General features: G+C 38.6%; 1 annotated feature.

Annotated features, from left to right (window-relative positions):
* Positions 1,365 to 1,444: an enhancer, noted in NCBI's record as "active region_20028". NCBI's record gives its function as "activates an Ori minimal core promoter by ATAC-STARR-seq in GM12878 lymphoblastoid cells {active_cell/tissue: GM12878}" and the evidence as "EXISTENCE:reporter gene assay evidence [ECO:0000049][PMID:35858748]".

Raw genomic sequence — 15,477 nt, 5'->3', positions numbered from 1 at the left:
ACATAGACCATAGATATTACATATCATGGTACATCCATTCTGCCATTGCAAGAATGAGGGGGCTCTGTATTTCCTAACGGGTGGTGTCTATAATGCTTTGATAGAGAAAAAAATAACAAACAGGTTTTATAAAATCATCAAGGAATATGCAGTGAAAATGGCTGGGAAACAAGTAAGGGTTAAGTTTATTATGTGGGAGGAGTTGGAAGGAGAAGAAGTGACTATTACATCTCATTACTTTTTTCTCTATTGTGTGTGAATTTTTTTTTTAACCCCGAGCATGTATTACTTTTAAAATAAAGCGCTGATTTGAAAAAGGCCCCTGAAGAACCCTTTAAATCTCTAAGGCTCTTCATATACTTAAAAAAAAAATTCCATTTATAAAAATTTGATTTATTCACTCTTTTTTCTGGAACACATCTACTGCATTAAGGTACACCAATATGGTTAAATGACCCATCACCAATGGGTTTCTATAAGGACTTTCTTCTCCACTGGCCATTTCCTCTGTTACGGAGACTAACAAATTGCCAGGGAGTTAAAGAGTCTTACAACCTGTCATTAGAAACCTTTCAACAGTCTCAATGCAGTCAGGCTCATTTGATACGAGTTTTATGATTACAAAAGATTGTTTGAAGACTCTGCCCCATTCTGGATTAGCAGATGAAATCTCCCAGATCTGGTTGATCAGTATAAATAATCCCAGAGGTATTTTTTTTTTTAAAAGATGACTCCTTTATCACCAATCCCTCTTTTTGACTTGGTAAGTCAAGGTCAGAATCTTTTTTTTCTCTTTTAAGTTCTCAAGACGATTCTAATATAGAGCCAGGTAAGGGAACTCCTGTCTTGCACTGATTGAAATTTCTTTCTTTTATTTCTTAGAAATTACTATGCAATGGTGCAAGTCATTCTCTCTAGAAAAAGAGTTCCTATTTATTGGCTCAGCAACAGAAATATGTTTACAGTTGCCAGAAGTCCATGGACATGCAGAGGGAATGCGCTAGTGAGGACAGTGTTTCTTAAGGTTCTCCCATAGTGTTTCAGCCATAGAGAAAGCCTTCTAAAAGCTCACAGCTATGACATCGGCTGCACTATGATTGCAGGAGGCAGGGCTGATGAGTGTTTTAAAAAGCAGTACTTCCCAGTGATCTAATGACCTTCAGAGCTTGTCAAGGCAGTTTAGGGGGAAGTAAGCATTCTTGCTAAAATAATTTCCCCTAATATCTACCTTTGTCAGAGCCTTGCTTATGATTCACTTAATAGAGATGGACATCAGTCTTGGAGAATACTCAGTTTTGTCTTCTATGTGGATACCTTCCCCCTCCTCCACAGTGTGTCATTAACACATTATCCAGCAGTTGGACCAAACTAGGCTTGGCAACAAGAGAACTGCCTTTTACTGTATTTTTTTTTTTGTTTTTGGACTCCTGGTAGAGACTTAATCTGCTTTTCTTTGGTTCACACTAATTTAAGACGAAACTTGCGCTTTCATACTGAAAGAAAGCATATTTGCTGGCCCTGCCTGTCTCTCCACATTAATCTCCCACTGTCCCCACTGTTTTTGTCCCCTTAGCTCTGACCCTTCTGAACTGCTTACAGTTCCCTGAATGCTCCAAGCTGCCTCTACCCCGTGCCTTTGTTCTTTCTGGTCTTTCTAGTTTGACTAACACCTACCGTTCAACTCTGCAGTCAGCCCACAGGGCAGGCCTTTTCCAGCTGTGGCACCAAGTTAGGTCTCCTCCTCCAACTTCATCTTAGTAATTATCATTTTACTCTGTAAAAATTCCATTTATTTACTTTTTTTGCATAGAATATTTCTGGACAGAAATATTAGAAATAACAACTGTTTGTGTGGTTGTCTAGAAAATGTGGGAGACGTTTCATTGTATGTGTACTTTTTGTTTCTTTTGAACTTTTGTACTTCATATACTTATTCCAATAAATACAATTCAAATATAAAAACAATAACAAATCTCAGCTGTAGAAGCAATTCTATTCTTCACTATTCTCAGATTAACATATTTTAGGCAGATTTCCATATATACTTTAAAAAAATCTTTACTTTTAATTTCACAATATGTAAATTTTCTCTATTATAAATGCCAATGCAAATTAGTCTTTCTGCTACCAGACTTTTCTGACATAATACTCATGTAATTTCCATTCTGGTCTTAAATGTGTTTTAAATTGAGTATATTAAAAAATGTTTTTCTGGAGTGTATTACAAATCTGAAGAGAGACAACTATTTACAAAATGTGAACTTGGGGTGTTTTTAAATTAGTAACATTGAGTTTTGTTGAAAGAGGTAACTGTCTCACTTTTCCTGGAACTAAAAGGGGAGGCTAGACTTTCAGTGCTAAAACTGGGGAAGTCCCATGCAAACAGGAATACAGTTGTCACCCCAGGCATTCAACCAATCAGAACAAGGGGCCTGACCAGTCAGAATGAACCCTGGCCCAAAGAGAAGAGATGTTTGATGTAAAACCCCACACTGGGTACTGGTGCATAGCAATTAATTACAAGTCCTGGTTTCACAGCTCTTTCTTCATCTTTCAAGAGTTGATTGCTCATCAACTCTGTGACATTTTAAAAAGAAATACCTTAAATTCTATGTTAAACTTCATTATAAAATACGTGGCATAAAGAAGGAATTTCCCTGACATTTGATGCTGTTATGTTCTTAACTGAAGCTTGAAGATTTATCACCTTTAATGGTGCATGCAAAGTAAATCTTATTTTTAACTTTAGACTCCTATAAAAAAAAATACCATTCCGACAGTTTTTTTTTTTTTTTTCCTGAAATAGTCCAAGGTTTACTAAGAACCACTGAATACTACTGGGGCAGTATGGCAGAGATAAATAATTAAAAAGTAAATTAGCAGGTGAAACTAATGAGTTTGTGAGTGGGAGGAGCAGAAAGGCCCATAAAAAGTATTCAAGCTGAGAAGAAAGTGAAGATGATTAATTTCAGTTAGAAGTTGATATAGAAAATTTATTGCATTTTCAGCCTAATACTGAAATGCATGCTGAATATGGCTGTTCTAGACTTCATTAACCAGTAATCCATGTACATAAGAGTGACACTAAGCAAATAAATGTGGCAGACCAAAATAAATAAGTTTTCCGAAATGAATGTCTTTTAACAGTGGTTGGCTAATTAGTTAAAATAACAGAAGTCCAAAAAGCAGGTCTATGAAGAAGTTTTCTTCTTTGACAATTTCTTCTCTGTTAACAACTTGATTTCCTTATATCAGGAACCTACCAAGAAAGGGAGCAATTTTATATATTCTATGGTTCTTTTCAAAAAGATGAAACCTATAGACTGGAGACTTTGTCTACACGTGGGTTAGTCAGATCCCATGGAACATTTTTAAACTGTTTACTCTGGCCATTTCTGCTGGTTTTGGGGGACGCAGAATAGGAATTCTTTACCTGGAAACCTTTCTGGAGGCACAAAATCATTTGAAATTATCTGCGACATTTTGCGTTTATGTATCTATGTGTGTTTTCCTGCAGAAGATATCTTCAGCTTTCTTTAAACTCTAAAAGGGTTCTGTTACCCCCAAAATATTTAGTAAAAATTGAAGTGCTGGCCGGGCACGGTGGCTCATGCCTGTAATCCCAGCACTTTGGGAGGCTGAGGTGGGCGGATCACAAGGTCAGGAGATAGAGACCATTCTGGCTAACACGGTGAAACCCTGTCTCTACGAAAAATACAAGAAAATTAGCCGGGTGTGGTGGCACAGGCCTGTAATTATAGCTACTTGGGAAGCTGAAGCAGGAGAATTGCTTCAACCTGCGAGGCAGAGGTTGCAGTGAACTGAGATCGTGCCACTACACTACAGCCTGGGCGACAGAGCAACTTGGTCTCAAAAAAGAAAGAAAAAAATTGAAGTGCTACACAAAAGTGCTCCAGGGTCTGCATGCTCTTGTGAGTTCTCCATCTCTCTCTCTCGCTTTTTTTTTTTTTTTTTTTTTTTTTTGGGACAGAGTCTTACTCTGTCGCCCAGGCTGGGGTGCAGTGGCATGATCTCAGCTCACTGCAATCTCTACCTCCTGGGTTCAAGTGATTCTCCTGCCTCAGCCTCCTGAGTAGCTGGGATTAAGGGTGGGCACCGCCACATCTGGTCAATTTTTGTATTTTTAGTAGAGATGGGGTTTCACCATGCTGGCCAGGCTGGTCTTGAACTCCTGACCTCAGGTAATCCGCCCTCCTTGGCCTCCCAAAGTGCTGGGATTACAGGCGTGAGCCACCGCACCTGGCCTCTCTCTTGTTTCTTTACACTGTTCTTCCCCAATATTTTGGTGAAATAGTTTTGTAGAATTTTCTGTTTGGTTTTGCTTGTAAAAGGCTGAGAATCCAGCTCTGCAGGCAGAGTGAATGATACTTATTTCTTACTCATTGTTGCATACAAAAATACATGCTTGATATGGTTTGGCTCTGTGTCCCCACCCAAATCTCACTTGTAGCTCTCATAATTCCCACATGTGGGAGGGACCTGGTAGGAGATAACTGAATCATGGGGGTGGGTCTTTCCCATGCTTTTCTCATGTGGTGAATAACTCTCACGAGATCTGATGGTTTTAAAAAATGGGAGTTTCCCTGTGCAAGCTCTCTCTCTTTGCCTGCCGCCATCCACATAGGATGTGACTTGCTCCTCATTGGCTTCCAGCATGATTGTGAGGCTTCCCCAGCCACATGGAACTGTAAGTCCATTAAACCCCTTTTCATGTATAAATTACCCAATCTCAGGTATGTCTTTATCAGCAGTGTGAGAACAGACTAATACAATGCTATGGATAAGTAGATAGATCCACACACAGAAGGCTTGTTGATTGCCAGGAAAAGGTGGGAAAATTTGCATACATTCCCAGAAATCTTCAGGGAATAAAGAAATCTAGATCCCAATACATTCCCTTTCTAGTTTAAGTACATTTCTAATGGACTGAGATAGCCCTGAATAAGACCAACTGACTTTTAAAAAAAAAAAACAAAAGGGAGCTCACTTCAATGGTGAAAGTAACCCTCAGTAAGAGTGAAATCTGAACTGGTAATTTGGACTCTATATGATGTCAGAAAAAAATACCTAAAACTTGGAAATAGGGAAGAGGTTACTGGCTGTTCTTTCAGTACAGTGCTGGGTTAACTTTCTTTTGTCAGGGCTATTTCGCAACTCATAGGGGCAAAGGTAAACTTGTAGATTTTTTTGTCTGAAAGGGTTTAGCCAGATGAAATTAGTTTCTATCAGGTGGAACACATAACTCCAAGGGTTACAAATTATGGCCTCATTGGACATTAACCAGTTCTTTTTAAAAATGGGGTAAAATTAATATAACATAAATTAATCATTAACCATTTTATTTGAAAATTTAATTTATTAATTAATTTAGAGACAGAGTCTTGCTCTGTCCCCCAGGCTGGGGTGCAGTGGTGCAATCATTACTGCAGCCCTGACCTCCCAATCCTCTCACCTTAGCCTCCTGAGTAGCTGGGACCACAGGTGCTCACTACCATGCCTGGCTAATTAAAAAAAAATTTTTTTTTGGCTGGGCGCAGTGGCTGACATCTGTAATGGCAGCACTTTGGGAGGCCGAGGTGGGCGGATCACGAGGTTAGGAGATCAAGACCATCCTGGCTAACATGGTGAAACCCCGTCTCTACTAAAAATACAAAAAAATTAGCCAGCCATGGTGGCGGGCACCTGTAGTCCCAGCTACTCAGGAGGCTGACGCAGGAGAATGGTGTGAACCTGGGAGGTGGAGCTTGCAGTGAGCTGAGATCTCACCGCTGCATTCCAGCCTGGGCGACAGAGCGAGACCCTGTCTGAAAAAAAAATTTTTTTTTTTTTGTGGATTCAGGGGCTTCCTATGTTGCCAGGCGGGTCTCGAACTCCTGGGCCTAAGCAATCCTCCCACCTCTGCCTCTCAAAGTGCTAGGATTATAGGTGTGAGCCACTGTGTCTGGCCTCATGGACTATTTTAAAGTATACAATTTAGTGGCATTTCATATTTTCGTGATGTTGTTTGACCACCACCTGTATCTAGTTCTGAAACATTTACATCATTTTTGCCATGTGTTTGACCACCACCTGTATCTAGTTCTGAAACATTTTCATCATTTTTGCGATGTGTTTGACCACCACCTGTATCTAGTTCTAAAATATCTTCATCACTCTAAAAGGAAATCCTGAAATCCTATACCCATTAAGCAGTCACTCCCTATCCCACCATCCACTTGGACCTTGGAAACCACTAATCTGATTTCTGTCTCTATGGATTTGCTTATTCTAGATGGTTTATATAAATAGAATCATATAATATGTGACCTTTTGTATCTGGCTTCTTTCATCTAGCATAATGTTTTTAAGGCTCCTTTGTGTTGGCTGTAGTATGTATCAGTACTTTATTCATTTTTAGGGCTGAATAATATTCCACTCTATGTGTATACTACATTGTGTTGATGCATTCATCTGTTGATGGACATTTAGGTTATTTCTACCTTTTGGCTATTGTGAACAGTGATACTATGAGCATTCAAGTATATGTTTGAATGCCTGTTTTCAATTCTTTTGGGTATTTACCTAGGAGTGGAATTGCTGGTCCTGTAGTCAATGCTTAATTTTTTGAGGACGCACCAAACCGTTTTCCATAGCAACTATACCATTGTACATTCTAACCAGCAATGTATGTATGGAGATTTCAATTTCTTTACGTCTTTGCCAATACTTACTCTTTCACCTCCTTTTTTTTTGGTTATGACCAACTTTGTCGGTGTGCAGTATTATCTCACTGTGGTTGTAATTTGCTTTTCTCTAATGACTAATGACATTGAGCATCTTTTTATGTGCTTCTTGGCCATTTGTATGTCTTTGTTGGAGAAATGTTTAAGTCCTTTGTCATTTTAAAATTGGGTTGTTTGTCTTTTTGTTGTTGAATTGTAGGAATTCTTTGTATATTCTGGATATTAAACCATTATCGGATCTATGATCCACAAATATTTTCCCCCATTCTGTTGGTTGTCTTCTCACACTTGATTAAGTCAAATTTATCTGTTTTTTAATTTTGTTGCTTTTGCTTTTGGTGTTATATCTAAGAAACCACTGTCAAATCCAAGTCATGAAGATGTACTCCTATGATTTCTTCTAAGTTTTATAGTTTTATAGTTTTAGTTTTTACATTTAGGTCTTTGATCCATTTTGAGGTGTTTGTATATGGTATGTGATAAGAAGGGTTCAACTTCATTTTGCATGTGGATAATCAATTGTCCCAGCACCATTTGTTGAAAAGACTGTTCTTGCCTCATTAAATGGTCTTGGCATACTTGTAAAAAATCAATTGACTATGGATGAATGGGTTTATTTCTGGACTTTCTATTCAATTCTCTTGATATATATGTCTATACTTATGCCAGTCCCGTACTGTTCTGATTACTGTAGTTTTATAGTAAGATTTTGAATCAGCAAGTTTGAGTCCTGCAACTTTGTTCTGCTTTTTAAAGATGATTTTGCCTATTCGGAGCCCCTTGTAATTCCATATCAATCACAATTCAGGGTCCACTGCAATCCCATTGACCTTTTTCATTTCTTCAAAAACTACCATTGGGATTTTGATAGGAATTGCAGTGAATCTGTGGCTTGCTTTGGAGAGTGACATTAACTAGTTTTGTATCAAAACAACCACCTTAAGCTAATATTGCATATATATATGTGTGTATATATATATATATATTTTTAGAAGGAGTCTCACTCTGTCGCCCAGGCTGGAGTGCAGTGGTACAATCTCGGCTCACTGCAAGCTCCACCTCCCAGGTTCACGCCATTCTCCTGCCTCAGCCTCCCAAGTAGCTGGGACTATAGGCACCCGCTACCATGCCCGGCTAATTTTTTGTATTTTTAGTAGAGACGGGGTTTCACTGTGTTAGCCAGGATGGTCTCGATCTCCTGACCTCATTATCTGCCCGCCTGGGCCTCCTAAAGTGCTGGGATTACAGGCATGAGCCACTGTGCCCGACCCATTGCTTGTAAATATTTAGCTCCTGAAACGCTCTTTGAGGGTGGTTTTGCCATATTACTGGCTCACTTATTGATGAACTGAATAAATTTGGCATATATGTTTTATATTTGCATAAGAGTCATGATTTTACTTTTTGAAAGTGATATTTTAATAATGAAGTTACACATTATTTAGGAAAGTTGTTCTCAACCACATTAGAATCACTAGGAGAGCTTTAAACCATACTATTGCTTAGGTCACAACTCCAGAAATTCTGCTATAATTGATCAGGGGCATAATGTGGGCTTTGGGTTTTCTTCTTAAAGCTCCCCAGGTGATTCTAATTGCACCTAGAGGTGAGAATTACTGTCTTAGAGGAAGTTCTAATGCAGCTGCTTCTGATCCAGTCTCATGGGTGCTATGGGATCCTCACTGGGAAAAGTGGCTTTGAGTAGGTGTCACTGAAGAGTTGTAATGTTGGGAGCCCAGTCTGATGTTGGCTGTGAGTACTCCTAGGTGAAAGGAACACTAGGAAAAGGGAATATTTTTCTTGTATATCTTGCCAACCCTGTGGCTCCTTTCTGTTTAAGAAAACCGAAACTGAGTCCTTGTCATCAAAAGGGTGTCTTTTGTCACAATCTTTTGTCTTCAAGACATTGGTAAGAAAAACAGCAACTTAAAGCTCAAGTCTAGCAGGGGGAAAATACATTATGAAACAAACAAACCGAAAGTAATGAAGGAATGGATAGAGTAAAAGTAGATGCCTTGGAAGAAGAGGTTAGTAACTGTATTAGTCTGTTCTCACACTACTATGAAGAAATACGTGGGACTGGGTAATTTATAAAGAAAAGAGGTTTAATTGGCTCACAGTTCTGTAGGCTGTACAGGAAGCATAGCAGCCTCTGCTTCTGGGGAGGCCTCAGGAAACTTACAATCATGACTGAAGGCAAAGAAGGGAAGCAGGCATGTCACATGACTGGAGCAGGAGCAAGAGGGTGTGGAGGGGGAGGTGTTACACACTTTTAAACACGCAAATCTCATGAGACCCTTTATCACAAAACAGCACCAAGGGGATAGTGTTAAATCATCCATGAAGGATCCACCATGATCCAATCACCCCTACCAGGCCCCACCTCCAACACTGGGGATTACAATTGAACAAGAGATTTGGGTGGGGATAGATCCAAACCTTGTCAGTAACCTTGGCAAGTTCATGGAGATAGCTTAACTACAGTGATGCCTTCTCTACTTTTGCAGAAAGAAGAAAGAAATACAGGGGATTAGACTTGGAATAACTTGGTGACACAGGGAAAGTCACTCAGTCATATTGGAATCATTTGTCCACTTGTGTTCTCCCTCTTTCCCTGCATTGTCCCTCTACAAATCTGTTCTTCAGATTAATTCCTTTCTTCTGGCTCTCCCCTTACATTCTAATGGAAGCTTATTTCTAAGAAGTTTTGTGTAGAAGCTGGGCACACAGTCTTTGAAGCCAAGCTGCCTGGGATTATAGCCCAGCTCTGCTACCTACCAGATGTGAGATGCTGGGTAAATTACTTTATGCCTTACTGTTCTCATCTGTAAAATGGGAGGGATTGATAGTGTCTTCTTTATAGAATTATTGTGAATTAGTTCATGAAAACACTTAAACTAGTAAATGGCAAAGAATGAGAGCTGAGTAAATGTTAGCTATTCCATAATTATATTATTGTTATTATTGCCCAGGAGTTACAGCCCTCAGCTGGAGTATTACTATTATTTTTTTTTTCTTTTTAAGACAGAGTCTCGCTCTGTCACCCAGGCTGGAGTGCAGTGGCGCCATCTTGGCTCACTGCAACCTCCGCCTCCTGGGTTCACACCATTCTCATGCTTCAGCCTCCCGAGTAGCTGGGGTTACAGGCGCATGCCACCACACCTGGCTAATTTTTTGTATTTTTAGTAGAGACAGGGTTTCACTGTGTTAGCCAGGAGGGTCTCGAACTCCTGACCTCGTGATCCATCTGCCTCGGCCTCCCAAAGTGCTGGGATTACAGGCGTGAGCCACCGCGCCTGGCCTGGAGTATTATTTAGGTACAGAAGTCTTCAGGGTCTCTGAGGACGAAGTGTCTGAAGAAGAGTTATCCATAGAGGACATGTGGCCTTGATGCTCGCAGTGAGCAATTCTGCATAAAAAATGACTCGCACAGGAAGTAGATTGGATGGATTAGGTCACTGCTTTGAAAAGCCTGGTAGTTTCTGTCACTGCTGATTGGCCTGGAAGTTACAGGTTCTTTGTGGGAAATGAGGCTCTGTTTAGGGGAGGGGCAAGAGGCCTCCCAAGGGGGATTTTACCCTCTGTTTCCTGCTGCTGTGGCTCTAGAACCTTCCCAGACCACAGAGAGTAACTCAAAACCTTTCATTGTTTTTTGTTTGTTTGTTTGTTTGTTTTTCTTTGAGACGGAGTCTCACTCTGTCATCCAGGCAGGAGTGCAGTGGCACAATCTCGGCTCACTGCAACCTCCACCTCCAAGGTTCAAGCAATTCTCGTGCCTCAGCCTCCTGAGTAGCTGGGACTACAGGCATGTGCCATCATGCCAGGCTAATTTTTTTATTTTTAGTAGATATGGGGTTTTGCCATGTTGGCCAGGCTGGTCTCAAACTCCTGACCTTAAGTGATCTGCCCACCTTGGCCTCCCAAAGTGCTAGGATTACGGGCATGAGCTGCCATGCCCGGCCAAAACCTTTCATTGTTCACATGTCTAATACTTCTGCTGTAACACTGTGGTTGTCCTCTTAACTATGACAAGAATATGGACAATACTTGACCCTTCCTCTTTGCTCACAATTTCTGCTCAACCCCTGAGCAGACCAAAGACCCCTCCTCATCCCAGGGCAGAGCAAATAGAAGTATAGAAGTATAGAAGTAGGTGAATCCAAAGTAGGGTTCCCAGCTGACTGATGAGTCCAGATTCTTTCTTGCTGCTCTGTCATCTTCAGTGTATCAGTGACCTGTGTTTCTTCATAGCTGCAAGATGCAGCTGCAAAAAAAAAAAATAAAATCTGTCTCCAATAATGTCCAAAAGTAGGAAGGGTGTGAGAGAGTATTTCTGTTGTTTATTTCTCTGCTTATTGCAGTCCCATTGGACAGGACTTCATCACATATCTAAGCACTGACTCAAAGAGGTGCAGAAATTGAGTATTTGGATTTTCAGCTTCTTGGAATATGAGGAAAGCTCTGCTGGCAAAAAAAAAAAAAAAAAAAAAAAAAAGCAGGGTAGGAAAATGGCTGCTAGAAGCTGGGTGCATGGCATGTGTTTGTAGTCCCAGCTACTTGGGAGGCTGAGGCAGAAGGATCACTCGCATCCAGGAGTTCGAGTCTAGACTGGGAAACATAGTGAGACCCCTGTCTCTTAAAAAAAGAAGGACAAGAAAATGACTGTTAGGTTGGCAATTAAAAGTGTCTGCCACACAATGATAATACCACTTTCTGTTATATGATTGTTTTACATTCTAAATTATCACACTTCAGCAGGCTAACATATCTTGTTGGGACTAAATAGATCTGCTTAAAGATGTTACTGTCTGCAGGCAAATCCTTCTGTCTTTCCATTGACCACCCCATCAAACCGCGTCCTGATTCGATATTGTGGTGGCTAGGGAGCCCTATGTCTTTTTCCTTTAGGCTTCTGTAGAATTTGTGATCCCCTAAGAACCAATTTAATTTAATTAATCTAATAAAGGACAGCACAGGAGAAGGCTGCTATTGTGCTACAATGCTCAGGAGGTAGCTTTGTGTTTGCTTTTTTTTTTAAAGTTTGATTAAAAATCCAATAGAACAAACAGGTTACAATGTATAATTATCATTAATCTCAGCACAGATTATCTTCATGAATTTATAAAAAAAATACTCCAGTAATCTTACCTAGTCTTGCATTATAGAGGTAAATTTGCTGGGGAGTTCTTTTTTATCTTTCTCCCAGGTTCTATTCTGTCCCAATGTTAGAAACTTTAATTATTTTTCAGTGCATATTTTCTATTTTATTATTATTGTTGTTATTATTTTTAAAACTATTTACTTATGATTTTTTAAATCCAGTCAGATTTAGCAGTGGAGAGTTATTTCCCACCCTTTTGCTTAAACTTAAAAAAAAAAGTTCTTGTTTAACAATGCATGTTGCTTATAAAAGAAAATACAAATAATATAAAACAATAGTAAAAAGTAAAAGTTCCCTCCACTCTCCATCCATGCCTCCCTCTCCATCCCAACTCCCCAAGGCCCCTGCCAGCCAATTCCCTATCCTGAAGTCCCCCTCCCAGAGCTGTCCACAGTTAACAATTTCATTCTTGATCTAGGCCTGTACAAATATGCATATATTCATATGCACTTAGAGAGTTGTATGCTTTTTAGAAACCACATTATATATTATTCTGTAATTTTCTTTTTTATTTAATAATGTATCTTAGTCAACTTTTCATATGCATATGCTATATTAAATATATCTATTAAGTATAGATATATTTCATACTTTTCATCATATTATATTTCATATAATGTATCCTTTGCACTTTTCAAAATATTTTTACCACCTGCTCACCTCTTTTTTTCATAGAAAACAGCTCCCCTTTATTATAATTACTTTAAGGAGTTTTGAAAACAGCTCTAATTAACTTTATTAGTACTAAAATCTTGATAAAACACAATCTTGGAACTGTGTAGAAGACTCTAGCTCTGATTTTATAGTGATGATGGTTATGATGCCTCCTACTTGTATTTATACATTTTAAGACAATTTTCTATAATGGATTTCATTTAAACTCCATCTAATAACATTTTTTCTGGAAGTGCCTGCAGATTATCCTGATAACTGTTTTTATTATAATAAAGTCTTACCATATAAATCTTGAACAGCAAGATAATATTATTATTACACAATCATTATTTAATAAAGATGAAAATTAGTAGCTCTAACATTACTCCATGTCCAGCCTTACCCAAATTTGAATGTAGATTTCCTGACTACATCTTTTTGTTTCCTACTTCTAAGCTTCCAATTACGTGAAAAACAAAATCAACAGAATTAAAGGGAAAAAGACAATTCCACAAGTGTAGTACTGAATTTTAATACACTGTCACAACAATTTATAGAAAAGCTAGCCAAAAAAAATCAGTAAAGGCTTGGAAAATTTGAATAACACCATCAACCATCTTGATGTGATTGATACTTATACACCAGGAGCTGCTGAATATACCTTTTCAAGGGCTTAGTATACACTGATAAAAATAGACCATAAGCTAGGCCATAAAACAAGTCTCAATAAATTCAAGGAAATTAAATTATATAAGCTATTTTTCTGACTATAGAGGAATTAAATTAGAAATTAATAACAATATAATATTGAGAAAACTCTTACATATTTTGAAATAAACATTTTTCTAAATAACTCATGGGTCAAAGAAGAAATCATAGAAGAAATTAGAAGGTATTTTGAACTATATGATAAAGAACTTATAACTTGTTGAAATTTGTGGGATAAAGCTAGAACAGTATTTAGAATGAAAGATAAAAGTTTACATTTGTATATCAATGACTAAAGGTTATACATTTACAAGAAGATATAATAGGAGGAACAGAGTAAACCCAAATAAGTAGGAGGAAGAAACTAACAAAGAGCAGATCAATGAAAAAAATCTCAGATGAGCAATAAGGAAAATTAATCAGTCAAAAAGTTTATTCTTTGAAACGATCAACAAAATTGACAAACCCCTAGCTAGAATGATCAGGAGAAAAATTAAATACAAATCACCAATATCAAGGATTAGATGTTCTTGTTACAGATCCTGTGGGCATTAAAGGATAATACACTGTTACAAACAATTTTATGTCAATAGATTCAACAAGCTACATTAAACCAACACATTTTCTGAAAAATACAACTTATTTAAACTGAGCAGGATGAAACAGAAAATCTCAGTAGCTATATAGCTATTAGAGAAATTAAACACATTATTGAAAACCTTTCTACAAATAAAACATCCTCCAGGTCCAGATGGTTTTACTAGTGAATTCTATCAAACATCCAAGGAAGATGTAAAACCTCTATTACACAATGTTTAACAGGAAAGAAAGGAGAGAATACTTCCCCACTCATTTTATGTGGCAAGCATAACCTTAACCCTCAAACCCGAGGAAGACATTACAAAAGAGAAAGTTACAGATAAGTATCACTCAGGAACATTGATGCCAAATCCTTAGCATAAAATTAGCAAATGAAATCCAACTTCTATGAATGCAAGATTTAAGATTCAGAAAATCTGTGAGGTGGGCAGATCACCTGAGGTCAGGAGTTCAAGACCAGCCTGGCCAACATGGTGAAACCCCGTCTATATTAAAAACACAAAAATTAGCTGGGCATGGTGGTGGGCGCCTGTAGTCGAAGCTACTCGGGAGACTGAGGCAGGAGAATTGCTTGAACCCGGGAGGCGGAGGTTGCAGTGAGCCGAGATTGTGCCACTGCACTCCAGCCTGGGCAACAAGTACGAAACTCCATTAAAAAAAAAAAAAAAAGAAACAAACAAACAAACAAACAAAAAAACTCCCACAAACTCTTTTTTCCTGCCAGGCCTGAGACTATTTATTTCTGCCAAGAGATACCAAGAGATACCAAGGCAGGCATGTGGAACTTGCAGGAGAGCCCCAGCTATATCACATTGCCTGGTCTAGGAAGCTTCTTCATTCTCATGAGCTCAAAACTATCCTCTCTCATCCAGAGACGCCAAGGCAGTTGGGGACAACAGTAGGTAAATCGCACCTCATCCTTGTCTCACCAAGAGACATCTGGTGGCCTGGTCTGGTCTGAATAAAACTCATCTATCCCTTCAGCAGCACCAGAGGCATCAGATAAACCAAATACATCAAAATAACACCCCAAACTCTCTGAAAATTAAACTCCTGTTGAAACCACGCTCCACAAAAGTAGGCCAAGACTTACATGCTAAACCTAAACACGGTGACTCCCAAAATAAAAGATTAACATAGGACCCAGAGTGTCCTAATTAAATAGAAAAATGTACAGAATGCAATTAAGAATCACTCCAAAAACCAATAACTAAGAAAATCACAATTTAATAAGAAACAATCAACTGACATCAACATTGAGATAAGATTCTAAAGCATCCATCATAAAAATTTTTCAACAATCAATTACAAATTCTCTTGAAACAAATGAAAGTGAAAAAATAGAAAATGTCAAGAAGTAGATGTAAAAAGGAAGAAAATGGGAATCACAGAACTGAAAAATATAATAATAAAAATTTTAAAAACTTGCTTGATGGGGTCTATAGTAGTGTGGACATGGGAGAAGATAGAATCAGTGAACTTGAGGCTAGGTGTGGTGTCTCACGTCTGCTATCCCAGTGCTTTGGGAGGCTTAGATATGAGGATCACTTGAGGCCAGGAGTTCAAGACCAGCCTGGGCAACATTGTGAGAGCTTGTGTCTATGAAAAAAA

Source organism: Homo sapiens, chromosome 3, assembly GCF_000001405.40.
Source record: "Homo sapiens chromosome 3, GRCh38.p14 Primary Assembly".
Classification (NCBI taxonomy): domain Eukaryota; kingdom Metazoa; phylum Chordata; class Mammalia; order Primates; family Hominidae; genus Homo; species Homo sapiens.
Note: the sequence above shows the minus strand (reverse complement) of the source record. Positions and strands in the feature narration are given on the sequence as shown.